The sequence below is a fragment of the Homo sapiens genome, chromosome 13 (genome assembly GCF_000001405.40).
Source record: "Homo sapiens chromosome 13, GRCh38.p14 Primary Assembly".
Taxonomy (NCBI): domain Eukaryota; kingdom Metazoa; phylum Chordata; class Mammalia; order Primates; family Hominidae; genus Homo; species Homo sapiens.
Window position 1 is genome coordinate 38,795,393 of NC_000013.11, and position 19,514 is coordinate 38,814,906.

The 19,514-nt window shown below is 36.3% G+C and overlaps 1 protein-coding gene across 2 annotated transcripts in view, besides 1 other annotated feature; it reads left to right on the plus strand.

Annotated features, from left to right (window-relative positions):
- Nucleotides 1-19,514, plus strand: part of FREM2 (FRAS1 related extracellular matrix 2) — a 200,055-nt gene that overhangs the window by 108,316 nt on the left and 72,225 nt on the right. The gene's annotated exons all lie outside the window — the stretch shown is intronic.
- Nucleotides 9,036-9,537: an enhancer, noted in NCBI's record as "NANOG hESC enhancer chr13:39378565-39379066 (GRCh37/hg19 assembly coordinates)". NCBI's record gives its function as "activates a minimal SCP1, AML or CMV promoter by ChIP-STARR-seq in naive H9 embryonic stem cells {active_cell/tissue: H9 hESC(naive)}" and the evidence as "EXISTENCE:reporter gene assay evidence [ECO:0000049][PMID:30033119]".

Consider the following 19,514-nt stretch of genomic DNA (forward strand, 5'->3'; position numbering starts at 1 on the left):
CAACTATTCCCTGACTAAAGATAAATGAATCCCTTGTAACTTTAAAAAAATTCTTTTGTTTTTTACTAATACAAAAATGTACATATTTATGAGGTACATGTGAGTATTTGTTACATGCATAGAATGTGCAATGATCAGTTCAGGATATTTGGAGGATATTCATCACCTTGAATATTTATCATTTCTATGTGTTGGTAACATCTCTAGTCCTCTCTTTCAGCTACTTTGAAATATACAATACATCATTGCTAACTATAGTCACCCAAATCTGCAATCAAATATTGGAGCTAATTTGTTCTGTATAATTACATATTTGTACTCACAAACACACCTCTCTTTATCCCCACTCCCATCCACATACCCTTCCCAACCTCTGGTATCTATCATTCTATTCTCTGTCTCAATGGGAATCAATTTCTTTAGCTCCCACTTACGAGGCAGAATATGCAGTATCTGTCTTTCCATGCCTGGCTTATTTCACTTAACTTAATAACCTCCAGTTCCATCCATGATGTTGAAAAATGACATGATTTCATTCCTTTTGGTGGCCAGATAGTATTCCCTTGTGTGTATACACGATAGTTTTCTTTCTTTCTTTCTTTCTTTTTTCTTTCTTTCTTTCTTTTTTTGTCGAAATGAGACTTTATTGAAAAGATGTTGGGAAGCTCATAGAATCATTAAGGTGGCTGGCAAATCAGGTTTAGATAATGGGCAGAATCCAAGGGAAAACAGGTACCTGGATCTCATCCATAACTGTGTACAGCAACTGTTGTACCCTGGCTACCAGAACTTGAGCCATCACTGTTGGAGCTGGATATAGGATACCCTATGAGATCCTCTGGAACGGATGACCCTAGAAACTGGATGTTGCTGTGGCTACTTCCAGAGCAATTTCTCTCTGCCATTATTACTCATGTCACTTGCTTTACAGTCAATGTTCTGGTAAAGAACTGGGGCTGGGTATTGTGTCTTCATCCTAACTCAGATGGTAGGGGAAAGTAATTATCTGAACTTTTTGGTTGTTGTCATGAGATATTCTTTATATTCCACCATGACTCAGATAATGGGGAAGTTCCCCAAAACAGAGGATGGCAATTCTGATGCTAGGCATTTTAACAACTGTAAAAAGTACCTCCCTAACCCCCCAGCCCCATTCCCCTACAAAATGACTATGGTTATTCTCTCATGCCATGTCCATATTTCAGTTCTGTGAATATAATGCACTTGATTGCTTGTGAATTCATAAGTATACATGATAGTTTCTTTATTCATCTGTCAATGGACACTTAGGATGATTCCATATATTTGCTATTATAAATAGTGCTGCAATGAACACACAAGTGCAGGTATTCCTTTGATATATAGGTATCTTTTTCTTTGGATAAATACCTAGTGCTAGGATTGCTGGATAGTATGGTGGTTCTATTTTTAGTTTTTTGAAAAATTTTTATACTGTTTTTTCTGGGTTTTTTGTTTGTTTCTGTTTTTGTTTTGTTTTGTTTTTTTGAGGCAGAGTTTTGCTATGTTTCACAAGCTGGAGTGCAGTGGTGCAATGATAGCTGCAGCCTTGAACTCTTGGATTCAAGCAATCTTCCTGCCTCAGCCTCCAGAGTAGTTAGGACTAAGGTGCACACCACCACACCTGGCTATTTTCTTTAAATTTTTTGTAGAGATGGGGTCTCTCTATGTTGCCCAGGCTGGTCTAGAACTCCTGACTCAAGCAATCCTCCCACCTTACCTTTGAAAGCATGGTATTAAAGGTGTAAGTCACCTCACCCAGCTTACTATACTGTTTTTTTATGGTGATTGTACTAATTTACATTTCCACCAAGAGGGTGTGAGTTCTCTTTTGTCCGCATCCTCACCTGCTTCTGTTATTTTTTGTCTTTTTAATATTAGCCAGTCTAACGGGTAAGATGCTGTCTCATTGTGATTCTGATTTACATTTCCCTGATGCTTAGTGATGTTGCACATTTTTTCATATATCTGTTGGCTATGTATATCTTTTTTTGAGAAATGTCTATCATCTCCTTAGCCTAGTTTTTAATGGGATTATTTGTATTTTTTTAAAAAATTGCTGAGTTGTTTGAATACCATGTATATTTTAAATTTTACTTCCTTGTCAGATAAATAGTTTGCAACTATTTTCTCCCATTCAATAGTTTGTCCCTTCACTCTGTTGATCATTTCCTTTGATGTTTAGAGGCTTTTTAATTTAATATAGCCCCATTTGTCTATTTTCATTTCTCTCTCTGTGCTTTTGAAGTTTTAGCTGTAAAATCTGCCTAGACAAATGTTCCCAAGTTTTCCCCATTTTTTTCCTAGTAGTTTTATAGTTTCATAGTAGTTCTTAGTTTTTATAGTTTTATAGTAGTCTTATATTTAAGTCTTTAATCCATCTTGACTTGATTTTTGTATATGGTGAGAGACAGGGGTCCAGTTTCATTCTTCTGCATATAGATATCCAATTTAGCCAGCAACATTAGTCTTTGGGTTTTCTAGATATAAAATAATGTCATCAGAATATAGGGACAATTTGACTTACTTTTTTTCCAGTTTTAATTCCTTTTCTTTCTTTCTCTTGCCTGATTGCTGTGGGGAGGACTTTCAGTAGTTTGTTGAATAGGAGTGGTGAAAGCAGGCATCCTTATCTTGATCTATACCTTAGAGGAAAGGCTTTCAGCTTTTTCCTGTTGAACATGACGTTAGCTGTGGGTTTGTTATATATGGCCTTTATTATTTTGAAGTAAGTTTCTTCTATTCCTAGTCTTGTTGAGCATTTTTATTATGATGGATGTTTAATTTTCTCAAATGCCTTTTCTGTGTCTATTGAGATGATTATATGGTTTATATCTTTCATTCTGTTGATGTGATGTATCATGATTATTAATCTGCATATGTTGAACCATCCTTGCAACCCTGTTTTAAATTGCACTTGATCACGGTGTATTATCTTTTTGATGTGCTGTTGGATGTGCTAGTATGAGAATTTTTGCATCTATGTTTATCAGGGATATTGGCCTATAGTTTTGTTGTTATTGTTGTTGTGTCCTTATTTGGTTTTGAAATCAGGGTAATACTGTCCTGATAATGATTTTGGAAGTATTCCTTCTTTATCTATTTTTTGTACTAGTTTTAGAAGAATTGCTGTTAAGTTCTTCTTCATACATTTGGTAGAATTCTGCAGTGAATTTATTAAGTCCTGAGCTTTTCTTTGTTGGGAGACTTTTCATTACTGATTCAATCTTGCCACACATTATTGAACTGTTCAGATTTTCTATTTCTTTCTGATTTAATCCTGGTAGGTTGTATATTTTCAGGAATTTATCCATTTCCTCTAGGTTTTCCAGTTTGTTTGTTAGTCTGTAGTTGTTCATAATAGTCTCTGATGATCATTTGTATTTCTGTCATGTCAGTGGTAAAGTTTCCTTCTTCCTTTCTGATTTTGTTTATTTGGGTCTTCTATCTTTTGTTGGTTAGTATATCTAGAGGTTTATCAATTTCATTTAGCTTTTCAGAGAACCAACTTTTTCTTTCACAGATTCTTTGTGTGGGTTTATTTCTTGTTTAGTCTCTGTTTTCTTCAGTTCTGTTCTGATCTTTATTATTTCTTTCCTTTTGCTAATTTGAGGTTTGGTTTGTTCTTGCTTTTTGGTTCCCTGAGGCGCATCATTATGTTGTTTATTTGAAGTATTTCTACATTTTCGATGTAGGCATTTATTGTTATAAACTTCCCTCTTAGAGCTACTTTTGCTCTATCACACAATTTATGTATTTTCATTTTTATTTGTTTCAAGAAATTTTTTTTCTATCTAAATTTTTTCCTTGCAATAGTCATTCAGAAGCATGTTGTTTAATTTTCATGTATTTGTATAGGTTCCAAAGTCCCTTTTTTGTTGATTTCTAGTTTTATTCCATTATGGTCTGAGCAGATGCTTGATAAAATTTTTCTTTTAAAAAATTTGTTGAGGCTTGTTTTGTGGCCTAACATATGGTCTATCCTGAAGAATGTTCCATGTAATGATGAGAATAATGTATATTCTGCAGTTGTGGGATAAAATGTTATTTAAATATCTGTTAGGATCATTTGTTCTGTAGTCTAGTTTAAAACTAATATTTCTTTGTTTATTTTCTGTCTCAATGATCTGTCTAGTGCTGTGAGTGGGGTGTTGAAGTCCCTTGCTATTATTGTATTGCTGTCTGTGTTTTTCTTTAGACCTAGTAATATTTATTTTATGAATCTTGGTGCTCTAGTTTTGGGTGCATATGTATTTTGGATTGTTATATTCTCTTGTTGAATTGATCCCTTTATCAATATATAGTGACCTTCTTTCTCTTTCTTTCTTTCTTACTGTTTTTGACTTAAAGTCTGTTTTACCTAATATAAGTATACCTACTCTTATTTTATTTTGGTTTCCATTTGCTTGGAATATCTTTTTCCTCACTTTATTTTGAATCTATATGTGTCTTTGAAGGTAAAGTGCATTTCTTATAGGCAGCATATATTTGAATTGTTTTTCTTTATCCATTCAGCCAGTCTGTATCTTTCAAGTGGAGAATTTAATCAATTTTCTTCCAAAATTATGATTGATATATGCGACTTTGTTACTGTCATATTGCTAATTGTTTTCTGGTTATTTTATATATTATCTGTTACTTTTTTTCCCTCTTATTGTTTGTCGTTGTGGTTTGGTGTTTTACTGTAGTGGTATCATTTGAGTCCTTTCTTTTCCTCATTTGTAAGTTTGGATTACAAATGAGTTTTACAGTTTTGTGTGTTTTCATGATGGTGAAAGTCGTCTTTTCACTTACAAGTTTAGGGATCCCTTGAACATTTCTTGTAGGGCCAATCTAGTGGTTATGAATTTAATCAGCATTTTCTTATCTAGGAAATACTTTATTTCTTCTTCATTTATGAAGGATAATTTAGTTAGATATAGTATTCTTGAGTGGCAGACTTTTTTTTCTTTCAGTACTTTGAATATGTCATTATCTCCGGGCACATAAAGTTTCTGCTGAGAAATCCACTGTTGGTCTGATGGGAGTTCCTTTATAGGTGACTAGAAGCTTTTCTCTTTCTGGTTTTAGGATCCTTTTTTGCTTTGACTTTAGACACTTTGACTATAATGTGCTGTGGAGAAGACCTTTCTGAGTTACATCTGTTTGGGGATATATGGGCCTCCTATATCTGAATGTCTAGGTCTCTTGCTAGACTTGGGAAATTTTCGTCTGTTATTCTGTTAAGTAGGGTTTTTGAGACAGAGTCTCACTTTGTCACCCAGGCTGGAATGCAATGGTGCAATCTCAGCTCACTGCAAACTCCACCTCCCGGGTTGAAGCAATTCTCTTGCCTCAGCCTCCCATGTAGCTGGGATTAGAGGTGCACACCACCATGCCCAGCTAATTTTTATATTTTTAGTAGAAATGGGGTTTCACCATGTTGGCCAGCCTAGTGTCGAACTCCTGACCTCAGGTGATCTGCCCATCTCAGCCTCCCAAAGTGCTGGAATTATAGGCATGAGCCACCACACCCAGCAATTAAGTTGGTTTTTTAACCCTTTCATTCTCTCTTTTCCTGCAGAGACAGCAATAATTTGAATATGTGGTTGCTTTATTTGGTACTAAATGTCATGAAGACATTGATCATTCTTTTTCTTTTTGTCTGACTGGATTATTTTAAAAGACCTGTCTTCAAGTTCTGAGATTCTTTCTTCCACTTGATCTACTCTATTGTTGAAACTTGTGAATGTATTTTGTATTTCATTCAGTGAATTCCTCAGTTCCAGAATTTCTGTTTGGTTGTTTAAAAAATTATTTCTTTGGTAAAATTATCATTTATATCCTGAATTGTTTTGTTGATTTCTCTCTATTGTTTTTCAGAATTATCTTGTATCTCACGGAGCTTCATTAAAATTAGCATTTTTAATTCTTTGGGATTTTGTGAATTTCCTTTTGATAGAGGTCTGTTGTTGGAGAATTATCATGCTTATTTGAAGATTTCTTTCCATGCTTTTTCATGTTTCCTGTGTCCTTATGTTGATATCTGTGCATCTGGTGTAACTATTGCTTCTAATTTTTTGAATTTACTTTTTTAGGTGATGACTTTTTATTGACGATCTATATATGGTTTTGGTTGGAGAGGGTGCATTACCTTTGATTTAAGTGCATGCAGTAGTGTAATATTCATATGATTTTATTGACTGTAAATAACATCCATGGTATCTGTGATTTTCTCTGTGGCCTAGGGTATCATTATTAGTAGAAGCTGTGCTGAAGATGCTCTGGGAACTAGGATGCTAGGTAGGCCAGTCTTTGAGCCCCAGTGGTGGCAGTGGTAACCTAAGCATGCCTGTCTGTAGGCCCCAAGGTAGTATATGCTGGTACCAGTATTAGTGGGTCATGGTGGCCCAGTTCGTTGGCTTTCATGTGGCTTGCTCAGATGCTATCAGTGGCAGTGGTAGGCCAGGAATGTGGGAGGGTTCTTGGTTTTCTGGACCATGGATATAATGTGGGAACCCAAGAGGTCTGTTGTGGTGGCTGCAATAGATTGGGCACGCACATATGGGTAGATGTCATCTGTGGTGATATCGGCAGGTTGGTTTGCCCCAACCTCAGATCCCAACATTATTCAGCTTCCAACAGTGGCAAACTGAGATGGATGATTTCCAGACCCCTGGATGGTGTATTCAAACACTGAGAGGACAGGACCAGGCTGGTAGACTTGTCTTCAGGACCCCCGGTAGTGTGTTCAGGTGCTGGTTTTGATAAGCGAGGTGGGGTTGTTCCCCCGCCACCAGTGGAGTGCTCAGGTGTGGGAAACAGCAGATTATCGTGGGCCTGCCACCAGGGCAAGTGGGGCCACTCTCAATGGGAACAGAGTAAGGAGGTAGCTGTGGGATGCATGGTTTCCTTTCTCCTCAGTCCCACAGCAGCCGGCAACAGTGACAATTACCTGCTTGGCCTCTTCTCTCCTTTTTTGGCCCAGCAGCAGCAGTGGCAACATCAGCCCCAGCTCCAGGGCATAACGCAGGCCTTTGGAGGCTGGGCTTTCAGGATATCCCCACCTGTGGGCCTGCCACCAGGAAGGCAGGGCTATCTCAGTGGGAACAGAATAGATAGGTAGCTGTGGGGAGTGCAGTTTGATTGCACCCCAGTCCCACAACAGCCCACCCCAATGGCAGTAAGATTTTTCCTGGAAGTATGTGAAGATGCTCAGCCTGTCTCTGCCCCTCCTTGGCATGGTAGCAGCAGTGGCAGCATCAGCTCCAGGATAAGACACAGTCCTTTGGGGGTTTGATTCTCAGAATGGCACCAAGCTGTAGCTGCTGAAGGCTCAGAAGCCTGTGGTACTCAGCGTAAGTTTCCTCTCTAGAGCAATGCCTCTGTGCAACCTGTAGGCATCTCCCTATGACAATCACAAGCCCCATATAGGTCGAGGGGTCTCCTGTAGCTGGGATTGTGAAAGTTTGTAGAGGGAATATGGAGCCCTGGGGGTCTGTCACTTACCCTTTCCGCACTTGTGGGAGGTTCTCCCAGCTCCCAGCCAATCCCAGCTGAGCAGGTTGCCTTGCTTCCCTCTCCTTCTTTGCTTTTGGTGCTTCCCATTGCTTCTCTGTTGAATCCCAATATGGTCCCTTAGATTGTCTATTCAAAGTTTGAATATTTGCTATTTCGGTTTCTTTCCATGGATGAGGCATGTACTAGCTGCATCTAGTCAGCCCTCTTGAACTCTGGACCTCCTTATAACTTTGTAACTCAGGGCAAATCTGAAATTTTACATGTGAATTTGTTCTCTAAAGCTATATTACCTCTCAATAAAATTATGAAATTATGTTTTTGTGCTCACAGAGTGGAAGATCAAGCCCTGCCTTACTAGTGACTTCTCTTAGTTGCAATGTCTGAGAAGTCCAGCTGAGGCCAAAGCTTTTCTCTGTGCTAACTCTTAACTGTGTGCAAGTAGGTCAGGGGCGCTAGAAGTACAGGAACAGGTCTTGATGAAACCTGTGTCGCGTCTTTAAGACACGGCTAAAATTTTTGTACTGCAGCATGTTTACACACAAGCAACACAACTGATGTTAAGAACAATGCTCTCATTTTGTGCAGATATCAAACATCTGACATCGATGTCTTTGGTCCTCAGTACTTCAGTAATTTTACAATTTAATACGCAGTATTGTTTCACTAGGGTCAGTATTAAGTCAGTGTTAACAATATTTCACTAATCTTTACTGTCAGTCTTAGGAAGGTAATTAAGGAACATTCAAACTGAATCTATTCTCTGCCTTTGTGTGACAACCCGCAGGGGTTTTAGCTAAAGTGGCTTGCTTCCTGGACCACCCTGCAAAAATTACCATACTAGATATAAGCCAGGCACATGTAAAAGGCAACATGGTGAGCTCTGTGGTAAATGTAACTCAGTTCAGTGCTGTTCAAAAGCTTACTGACATCAGAAAAGCTTTCTCAACAGCAGGAGTACCTTGGAGAAGAAAACATTTCTAGTGCTAGAAAAATACATCATGGTATGGTGGGTGTGTGAATGAAATTTTTTTATTCATTTGTGCCTAGCTGAAAGACCTAATCACCATCTGTTTTTGTTTGAATACAATTATTTGCATTACGCTTGCAAGCTCCCAAAAACTAACGGCAGAACAGTCATTATAAGAAATGGCCAGATTCCTTTAAAGTAACAACTTGAGAAAGTCACATTCTGTATTTGGTATACTTGAGTTAGAACAAAATGAAAAATCAAAAAGTAGAAAAATGAGTTTCTAATTTCTCCGAATATTAATGCAATGTAGCCATTGGTAGCCTATTTAATATAGTTGATGATTCTAACAATTCGCTGAAAGTCAGTTGATGATTAGCAAGTGCCAACAAAGTGAAAGCATTCCAGGGATTCACTGAATAGTAAAAATTATACCAATTTTTCCACATGAGAAGGATACTAGATAGAAAAATGTAGATATTATAGTCTGAAAACAAAAATCAAAATAAATCAAACAGTATGTATAAAATATCTTGCCATTTAAAAAATATCCAATGTCAAAAACTACATGCATGTAGCAAATCTTTGCTCTGCACATACTAAATACGGTATGTGGGGGGATACAAAGACATTTAAAATATAGGCCAAGAACTCACAATACTTAAAATCTGTTTGAAAGGAAAAGCTAAGTATGTAAAAAGCTAAACAAGAATAATTTATTTTAGTAAGAATTTGAAACAGTAAAAAGACTAAGAGAGCAGAGTGTGATTAAAAGCAATTGTATGAATCATTCTGAGTCAGAGGAAGAACAGATGAAGCATTTAAAAGATGAAAAGGATGTAGATGAATGAAGAATAAGGCTACGTATTGTCAGATTGCATGAGAGAAAGCTTGAGGGAGGGAAAGGCTTTTGGGCACAGTGAGCATTCCAGTTTGGCCAGGCTCCCTTTTTATGTGGAAGGTTTAATGCCCAGCTCCTTGGATTGGGAGTTAGGAGTCCTGGGCTGTAGACAAATTTTTGCAATTTTCCAGCCAATAATTCCTGATCAAACAACCTTTCTTCTTAACCAATCCAGCTTTCTTCTCTAGCCAATTTTCCTCATTTGAAGCATGAGCATATTTTTACCTGAATTTCTTACCTTATGGCATGTTTTTTGAGTAACAAATAATATGATCTATATAAAAGCACTTTAAAAACCAAGCAAAAGAAAAATAAGAGTCATTGGCAGTAGAGCCTGGATAAACGAGCTTGAAGCACATTTATTTGATAGGAAGCACCTGGATGTTTTTGAATAAGAGAATTAAATAATCAGAGCAGTGTTTCAAGGTTATTAATGATATAGCAGTGTACGTGAAAAGAAATGTAGGGTAAGGAGGTGAGGCTAGAAAGGAAAGGACTCACTGCTAAGAAAAACCTGACATAACTAGGACATCACAGAGGGAGGAAGGAGGAGAGGGATTGAAAAAAAATCTACGTTCAAAAAAGATTGTGCGTGGAAGCTCCAAAAAACTGAGGTACCATTATAGGAGGTTAGGAGAAGGAATTAGTCTAGGGAAAGAAAGATGGAAGAAGATGAGACTCTATTTAAACATACTAAGATAGAGCTACCTGCAGGGCATGCAGGTGAAACCAGGCAATAGGCCGGTAAAATACAGAACTAACTAAGCTGAAGTTTGAGATTTATAAGTCACATGTCTGATGGTGGCAGTTGAAATAAGGAGGGTAGATGACATCTACAAGAAAGAGAAGAGAGGGTGAAGAAAGTCAATTACTTGCAGTAGAATTTTATCTATAGTTATAATAAATTGAGTATGTGAAGTGGAATAATGAAAGGTTACCAGACTATATTTCTACTAAATATTAATGTATAGATTTTTTGGCTGTTAGCTACAAATAGTAATTATCACTTGTTATATATTAAGAAAATTGTGAAAATGTGCGGTATTAAGTACATTAATGGAATTGTCAAATAATAAATATACCTTTAGGCCCTTTTAAATAAGCTGTTATTAAATCTTGACTATTAAAAATAGAAATTAAAATACTGTTGTGTGGTTTCATTCCATCATTTTGTAACTCATTTCAGGTAAATTTAAACCACTTTTTTGATAGTCATTTAACATCTTTTTTTTTTTTTGTAATAGTTTCCGGAGAAAGGTTGCAAAATTACAGGATTCATTCACTTTTAACAAACACATGAGTGGGAGAGGGTAGGAAAAAAATGAACATTGTGAGGGTGAGTGAGTCATTCACTAAATACAAGTAGGAGGGTCCAGAGAAGAGAGACTTCTCCATGTTTCACTTGTGGGAGGACTTGTGGCCCCATGAATCCCAATTTCTAGCCCTTTCTACTTAATTCTAAACTTTGATTCAGAACCCACCAGGCCAGCTGTTTATGGAGAATAGTTTTATAAGGGAGGAAGTGCGCAGTGCACAGATTAAAAGAAAAGCAAATTTGAGCTTCCTGAAGCTGGATGCCCATATCTCTCCTAGAACTTGGGAAGTTTTCTGATATGTCTGTAATACCTCAGAGATGTTGAGAGTTTGGTTCCAGACCGCTACAATAAAGCAACTATTGCAATAAAGCAAGTCACACAAACTTTTCATTTTCCCCGGCATGTAAAACTTATGCTTACAGTATGCAATAGTCTATTAAGTATGCAATAGTATTGTGTCTAAAAATGTACATACCTTAAATAAAAAATACTTAAAATACTTTATTGCCAAAAAATGCTAATGATTGTCAGAGCCTTCAGTAATTTGTAATCTTTTTGCTGGTGTAGGTTCTTGTCTCAATGTTGATGGCTGCTTATGGATCAGGGTTGCGGAAGGTTGGGATGGTTGTGGTAATTACTTAAAATAAGACAACAATGAAGTATCTGCACCTTGTGATACTATTTGATAGCATTTTACTCACAGTAGAACTTCATTCAAAATTGGAGTAAATTCTTTCAAACTCTGTCACTGCTTTATCAGCTAAGTATATATAATAAACTAAATCCTTTGTTGTCATTTGAACAATGTTTACACCATCTTCACCAAAAGTAGATTCCATCTCAAGAAACCACTTTCTTTCCTTATTCATTAGAAGCAACTTCTCATCCACTCAGGTTTTATGATAAGATTGCAGTGATTGAGTCATATTGTCAGGCTCCAATTCTAGCTCTCTTGCTTTTTTTGCCACATCTGTAGTTACTTCCTCCACTGAAGTCTTGAACCCCTCAATGTCATCCATGAGGGTTTGAATAAATTTTTTTCAACCCCCTGCTCATGTTGATATTTTGACCTTTTTGCAGAGATCTTGTCTCTGTTATATATATATATATATATATATATATATATATATATATGTATGGTTTTGTTTTGTTTTGTTTTTTGCAGAGACAAGATCTCACTATGTTGCCCAGGCTGGTCTCAAACTCCTGGGCTCAAGCAATCCTCTGACCTCAGCCTCCCAAATTACTGGGATGATAGCTGGGATTATAGGCATGAGCCACCACACCCAGCAAATTACATATATTCTTAACGACATCTAGAATGGTGAATTTTTCCAGAGAGTTTTCTACTTACTTTGACCAGATCTATCAGATAAATCACTGTCTATGGCAGCTATAGCCTTACAAAATGTATTTTTTAAATGATAAGACTTCAAAGTTGAAATGACTCCTTAATCCATGGGCTGCAGAATGGATGTTATATTAGCATATTTAAAAACAACATTAATATTCTTATATATCTCTATCAGAGCTATTGGGTAACTAAGTGCATTGTAAATGGGAAGTAATATTTTTAAAGCAGTCCTTTTTTCTGGGCAGTAAGTCTCAATGGTCAGCTTAAAATATTCATTAAACTATGTTGTAAACGGATGTACTGTCATCTAGGCTTTGTTGCTCCATTTACAGAGCACAGAGTAAATTTAGAATAATTCTTAAATTACCTAAGGTTTTCTGATTGGTAAATGACCGTTGGCTTCAACCTAAAGTTACCAGCTGCATTAGCCCCTAATAAGAGAGTCAGGCTTTCCGTTGAAGCTTTGAAGCCAGGCATTGAATTCTCTTATTTGGCTACGAAAGTCCTAGATGGCTTCTTCTTCAAATATAAGGCTGTTTTTTCTCCAATGAAAATGTTATTTAGTGTAGCCCTCTTCATCCTTCATTTTAGTGAGATCTTCTGGATAACTTGCTACAGCTTCTACGTCAGCACTTGCTGCTTTACCTTGCACTTTAATGATTTAGAGACGGCTTCTTTCCCTAAACCTCATGAAGGAACCTCTGTTAGCTCCCAACTTTTCTTCTGAAGCTTCCTCGCCCCTCTCAGAATTGAAGAGAGTTAAGGCCTTGCTCTGAATTAGGCTTTGACTTAAGGGGATGTTTTGGCTGGTTTGATATTCTATCCCAACCACTCAAACTTTCTCCGTATCATCAAAATGGCTATTTCGCTTTCTTATCATTTGTGTGTTCACTGGAATAGCATTTTAAATGTCCTTCAAGAGCTATTCCTTTCCATTCACAACTTGGATAACTGTTGGGCACAAGAGGCTGGTTTCAGTTTTTGACATACCTTCCTCACTAAGCTTAATCATTTTTAGCTTTTGATTTAAAGTGAGAGACATGAAACTCTTCTTTTCACTTGAAAACTTAGAAGCTATTGTAAGCTTATTAATTGGCCTGATTTCAGTATTCTTGTGTCTCAGGGAATACAGAGGCCCAAGGAAAGGGAGACTAATGGGAGAACAGCTGATTGGTGGAACACTCAGGACAAATGCATCATTTATCAATTAAGTTTGACCTCTTCTATGGGCGCTGTTTGTGGCACCCCAAAATAATTACAATAGTAACATCAAAGATCACTGATCATAGGACACTATAACAACTGTAATAATAATAAGTTTGAAATATTCTGAAAATTTTCAAAACGTGCTGCAGAGAAACAAAGTGAGAGCACATGCTGTTGGAAAAATGATGCAGATAGACTTGCTTGCCACAGGTCTTCAATATGTTAAAAATAAAAACCCAAAAAACAAAATCTGTGAAGAACAATAAAGCAAAACACAATATAAGGAGGTATGTCTGTGTTTCATTAAACAGGTTTTTGGGTTTTTGGTGCTTTTCTCCATCTCTTCTCCATCTGACATTCTTCTGACGGAAATACCTGTTCACTTATTTATGTCCTGTTAAGTTCCATAGGCTTTATTTTTTCATTTTTTAAAATTGTTATTTTTTTTCTTTGACGGATTATCTTAAAAGCCTTGTCTTCAAGTTCAGAAATTCTTCTGCTTGATCTAGTTTATTTTTTATACTCTCAGTAGTATTTTTTATATCATTCATTGAATTTTTCAGCTCCAAGATTTCTGTTTGGTTCATTTTAATGATATATATCTACTTGGGGAGTTTATCATCCAGATCCTGAATTGTTTTTTAAATTTTCTTTTTTTTTTAAATTTTTGCAGGTACGTAGTAGGTGTATATATTTTTGTTTTGGCTGCCTGTGCTTATGGGGTATTGTGCAAGAGATTTTTTGCCCTGACCAATGTCCTGGAGAGTTTCCACAAAATATTCTTGTAGTAGTTTTATAGTTTGAGGTCTTAAATTTAAGTCTTTAATCCATTTTTATTTGATGTTTGTATAAGGCGAGAGATAGGGATTAAGTTTCATTATTCTGCATATGAATATTCAGTTTTCCCAGAACAATTTATTGAAGAGACTTTTTCCCAAAGTATGTTCTCAGCACCTTTGTCAGAAAATGAGTTTACTGTAGGTGTACGGATTGGTTTTTTGGGTTATCTTTTTTGTTTCATTGGTCTAAGTGTCTGTAGATAGTACCAAGTTAGTACCATGCTGTTTTGATTACAGTCGTTCTGTAGTATAATTTGAAGTGAGTTAATGTGATTCCTTCAGTTTTGTTCTTTTGCTCAGGAAAGATTTAGCTATTCTGGGTCTTTTGTGATTCCATATAAATTTTAGGATTGTTTTTTCTACTTCTGTGAAGAATGTTATTGGTATTTTTATAGGGATTGCATTAAATCTATGGATTGCTTTGAGTAGTATGAACATTTAAAAATATTGATTCTTCTAATCTATGCACATGAAATATCTTTCCATTTTTGTGTCCTCAATTTCTTTCATCAGTGTTTTATGGTTTTGTTGTAGAGCTCTTTCATTTCTTTGTTTAAGTTGATTCCTAAGTATTTAATTTTATTTGTGGCTATTGTAAATGAAATTAATTTTTAAATTTCTTTTTCAGATTGTTCAACTTGACATATAGGAATGCTATTGATTTTTATGTTGATTTTGTATCCTGCAACTCTAATGAATTTATCAGTTATAATATTTTTGGTCGAATTTTTAGGTTTTTTTTCTGAATATAAGATTATATCATCTGCAAAAAAAGGAAAATTTGATTTCTTTCTTTTCAATTTAGATGACCTTTATTTCTTTCCCTTGCCTGATTGTTCTAGCTGAGACATCCAGTTATATGTTGGTTAACAGTGGTGAAAGTGGACATCCTTTTCATGTGCCAGATCTCAGAGAAAGGGCTTTCAGGTTTTCCCCATTCAGTATGATGCTAGCTGTGGGTCTGTTTTATATGGTTTTCATTATGTTGATATATGTTCCGTCTATACCCAGTTTTTTGAGGGTTTTATCATGAAGGATGTTGAACTTCATCAAATGCTTTTTCAGCATCAATTGAAAAAAACATATGGTTTTTATCCTTTATTCTGTTTATATGATGTAACACATTTATTGATTTGCATATGTTAAACCATCCTTGCATTCCTGGAATAAATCCTATTTGGTCATGATGAATAATATTTCAAATATATTATTAAATTTGGTTTTCTAGTATTTCATTGAGGATTTTTACATCAATATTCATCAGAGATATTAGCCCATAGTTTTCTTTTTTTATATGTCTTTATCTGACTTTGGTATCAGGATAATGATAGAATGAGTTTGAAAGTATTCCCTCTTCCCCTATTTTTCAGAACAGTTTTAATAGGATTAGTATTAGTTCTTCTGTAAATGTTTTGGTAGAATTCAGCAGTGAAGCTGTCAGCTCCCAAGCTTTTCTTTACTGGAAAACTTTTTATTATGGCTTTAATCTTGTTATTAATCTCTTCAGGTTTGAGATTTCTACACAGTTCAATCTTGGTAAATTAATTTTTTATATTACATTAATTTTGAATAATTTATCCATTTCTTCTCTGTTTTCCAATTTATTGGCATATGGTTACTCATAGTCACTAATGATCCTTTGAATTTCTGTGATATTAGTTGTAATGCCTCCTTTTTCATCACTGATTTTATTTATTTGGATCTTCTCTCTTTTTTTCTTAGTCTGGCTAACAGTTTTGTCAATGTTGTTTATCAATAACAACTTTTTGTTTTATTGATCTTGTGTATTATATTCTTCATTTCAAATTCATTTATTTCTGCTCTGATTTTTATTAATTCTTCTACTAATTTTGGTTTAGTTTACTCTTGCTTTTCTAGTTATTGAACATGAATTATTAGGTTATTTATTTGAAGTTTTTTCTGTTTTTTGATGTAAGCATTTATAGCTATAAGTTTCCCTTTTAGTACTGCTTTGCTGTATCCCATAGGTTTTGGTATGTTGTGTTTCCATTATCATTTGTTTCAAAAAATTTTTCAGTTTCCTTCTTAATTTCTGCATTGGCCCACTGGTCATTCCGGAGCATATTGTTTATTTCCATGTGTTTGTATGGTTTCCAAAGTTTATCTTGTTTTTGATTTGTAGTTTTATTCTATAGTGGTCAGAGAATATCCTTTATATTATTTCAATTTTTTTGACTGTTTTAAGACTTGTTTTGTGACCTAACGTATGGTCTGTTCTTGAGAATGATTCCTGTTCTGAGGAGAAAAATATGTATTCTGCAGTTGTTGGATAAATGTAAATATCTATTAGGTCCATTTGTTCTGTAGTGCAGATTAAGTCAGATGTTTCTCCATTGATTTTCTGTCTAGAAGATCTGTCCAATGCTGAATGTGAAGACTTGAAGTCTCTAGCTGTTATTGCATTGGGCTCCATCTCTCTCTTTAGCTCTAACAATGCTTACTTTATATATCTGTGTGCTCCAGTGTTGGGTGCATATATATTTACAATTATTGTATCTTCTTACTGAATTAACCCCTTTATCAGTATACAATGACCTTCTTTGTCTTTTCTTGCAGTTTTTGTCTTGAAATCTATAGTGTCTTATATAAGTATAGCTACTCCTGCTCTTTTTTGGTTTCCATTCGTGTGGGATATCTTTTTCCATTCATTTATTTTCAGTCTATGTGTATCTTTATAAGTGAAGTATGTTTCTTATAGTCAAGAGATCATCGAGTCTTGTTTTTTCGTCCATTCAGCCAGTCTATGTCTTTTTATTGGAGGGTTTGGTCCATTTACATTTAAGGTTATTATTGATAAGTAGGGACTTACTCCTGCCATTTTGTTATTTGTTTTCTGGATGTCTGGTTGTCGGGTCTTTTCTTCTTTTCTGTCTTCCTTTTAGTGAAAGTGATTTTCTCTGTTGGTACGCTTTAATGTCTTGCTTTTTATTTTTTGTGTATCCATTGTATGCTTTTTGATTTGAGATTACCACAAGGCTTGCAAATACTATCTTATAACCTATTATTTTAAACTAATGACAACAACACTGATTGTATAACAACCAAACAAACATGCACAAGAAAACTAAGAAAAACTACACTTTTGGCTGGGCATGGAGGCTCATACCTGTAATCCCAACATGTTGGGAGGCTAAGGCAGGCAGTTCACTTGAGAACAGGAGTTTGAGACCAGCCTGGGCAACATGGTGAAACCCTGTCTCTACAATAAAACTACAAAGATTAGCCAGGTGTGGTGGTGTGTACCTGTAGTCCTAGCTACTTGAGAGGCTGAGATGGGAGGATCGCTTGAGCCCGGGAGATTGAGGCTGCAGTGAGCCTTGATTGCACCACTGCACTCCAGTCTGGGTGACAGAGCAAGACCCTATGTCAAAAAAACAAAATGAAACAAAAAGAAAAACAAGCAAAAAAAAAAAACCCCACAAAAACCTCTACCGTTTAACTTCACCCCTGCCCCTGCCACCTTTTAGCTTTTTGCTGTTTCTTTTTATTTCTTACTGTAGTGTCTATGTTTTTAAAAGTTACAGTTATTATTTTTGATGGATTCATCCTGTAGTCTTTCTACTTGAGAGAAGTTTATAACACCACAATTACAGTGTTATACTATTCTGTGTTTTTCTGTCTGCTTCCTATTACCAGTGAGTTTTGTTCCTTCAGATGATTTCTTCTTGCTCATTAACATCCTTTTCTTTCAGATTGAAGAACCTCCTTTAGCATTTCTCATAGGACAGGTCTGGCATTGATGAAAGCCCTCAGCTCTTGTTTGCCTGGGAAGGTCTTTATTTCTCCTTCAGTTTTGAAGGATAATTGCGCAAGATATACTATTCTAGGGTAAAAGGTTTTTTTTCCTTCAGCACTTTAAATATGTCATACCCCTCTCTCCTGTCCTGTAAGGTTTCCACTGTAAAGTCTGCTGCCAGGCATATTGCAGCTTTATTATATGTTATTTGTTTTCTCTCTCTCTCTCTCTCTCTCTCTCTCTCTCTCTCTCTCTCTCTCTCTCTCTCCTCTCTCTCTCTCTCTCTCTCTCTCTCTCTCTCTCTCTCTCTCTCTATATATATATATATATATATATATATATCCCTCTCTCTCTCTTGCTGCTTTTAGGATCTTTTCTTTATCCTTGACCTTTGAGAGTTTGATTATTAAATGCCTTGAGGTAGTCTCCTTTGGGTTAAATTGGTTTGGTGTTCTATAACCTTCTCGTACTTGAATGTTTATCTTTTTCTCTAGGTTTGGGAAGTTCTCTGATATTATCCCTTTGGATAAACTTTCTACCCCTATCTCTTTCTCTACCTTCTCTTTAAGGCCAATAACTCTTAGGTTTGCCCTTTTGAGGGTCTTTTCTAGATCTTGTAGGTATGCTTCACTGCTTTTTATTCTCTTTTGTCTCTTCTGTGTATTTTCAAGTTGCCTATCTTTAAGCTCACTAATTCTTTATCCTGCTTGATCGATTCCAATATTAATAGACTCAGATGCATTCTTCATGATGTCGCCTACATTTTTCAAGTCTATAATTTCTGTTTGATTCTTTTTTAATTATTTTAGTCTATTTGTTAAATTTATCTGATATTCTGAATTCCTTCTCTGTGTTGTCTTAAATTTCTTCAAGTCTCTTCAAAATAGCTCTTTTGAATTCTCTGAGAAGACATACATCTCTGTTTCTCCAGGATTGGTCCCTGGTGCTTTATATAGTTCATTTGGTGAGGTCTTGTTTTCCTGGATGGTATTGATGCTTGTAGATACTTGTCAGTGTCTGGGCATTGAAGAGTTAGGTATTTATTGTGGTTTTCACAGTCTGGGCTTATTTGTGCCTGTCCTTCTTTGGAAGACTTTCCAAGTATTCAAAGGCACTTGGGCCTCAAGCCCAAGACACTGTGATTTTTGCAGACTCATAGAGGTAGCACCTTGGTGGTCTTGGCTGAGATCCAGAGCAGTTCTCTGGATTACAAGGCAGAGGCTCTTGTTCTTCTCCCTTTCTTTCTGCCAAACATATAGCGTCTCTGTCTCTGTGCTGAGCCACCTGGAACCTGGGGTGTGGTGAGGAAGCACACCTGTGGCCACCACTGTTGGAACTATGCTGAGTCACACCTGAAGCCTGTAAAGTACTGAGCCTTGCCCAAGGCCCTTCACTTCAGAATGGCAAGTTTCCCCAGGCCCCAAATGTGTCCAGGGATGCTGTCTGGGAGCCAGGGATTAGAATCAAAAACTTTAGCAACTTACCTGATGTTCTATTCTACTGCAGTTAAGCTGATATTCAAACCACAATGCAAAGTGCTTGCTGCTCTTCTCTCCCCTTTTCGCAGTCAGAGGAGCCTCTCCCTGGGACCACCACCACCACTGATCCATGGGGGGCTCTACTAGGCCACCACCAATGTTGGCATAAAGCCCAAGG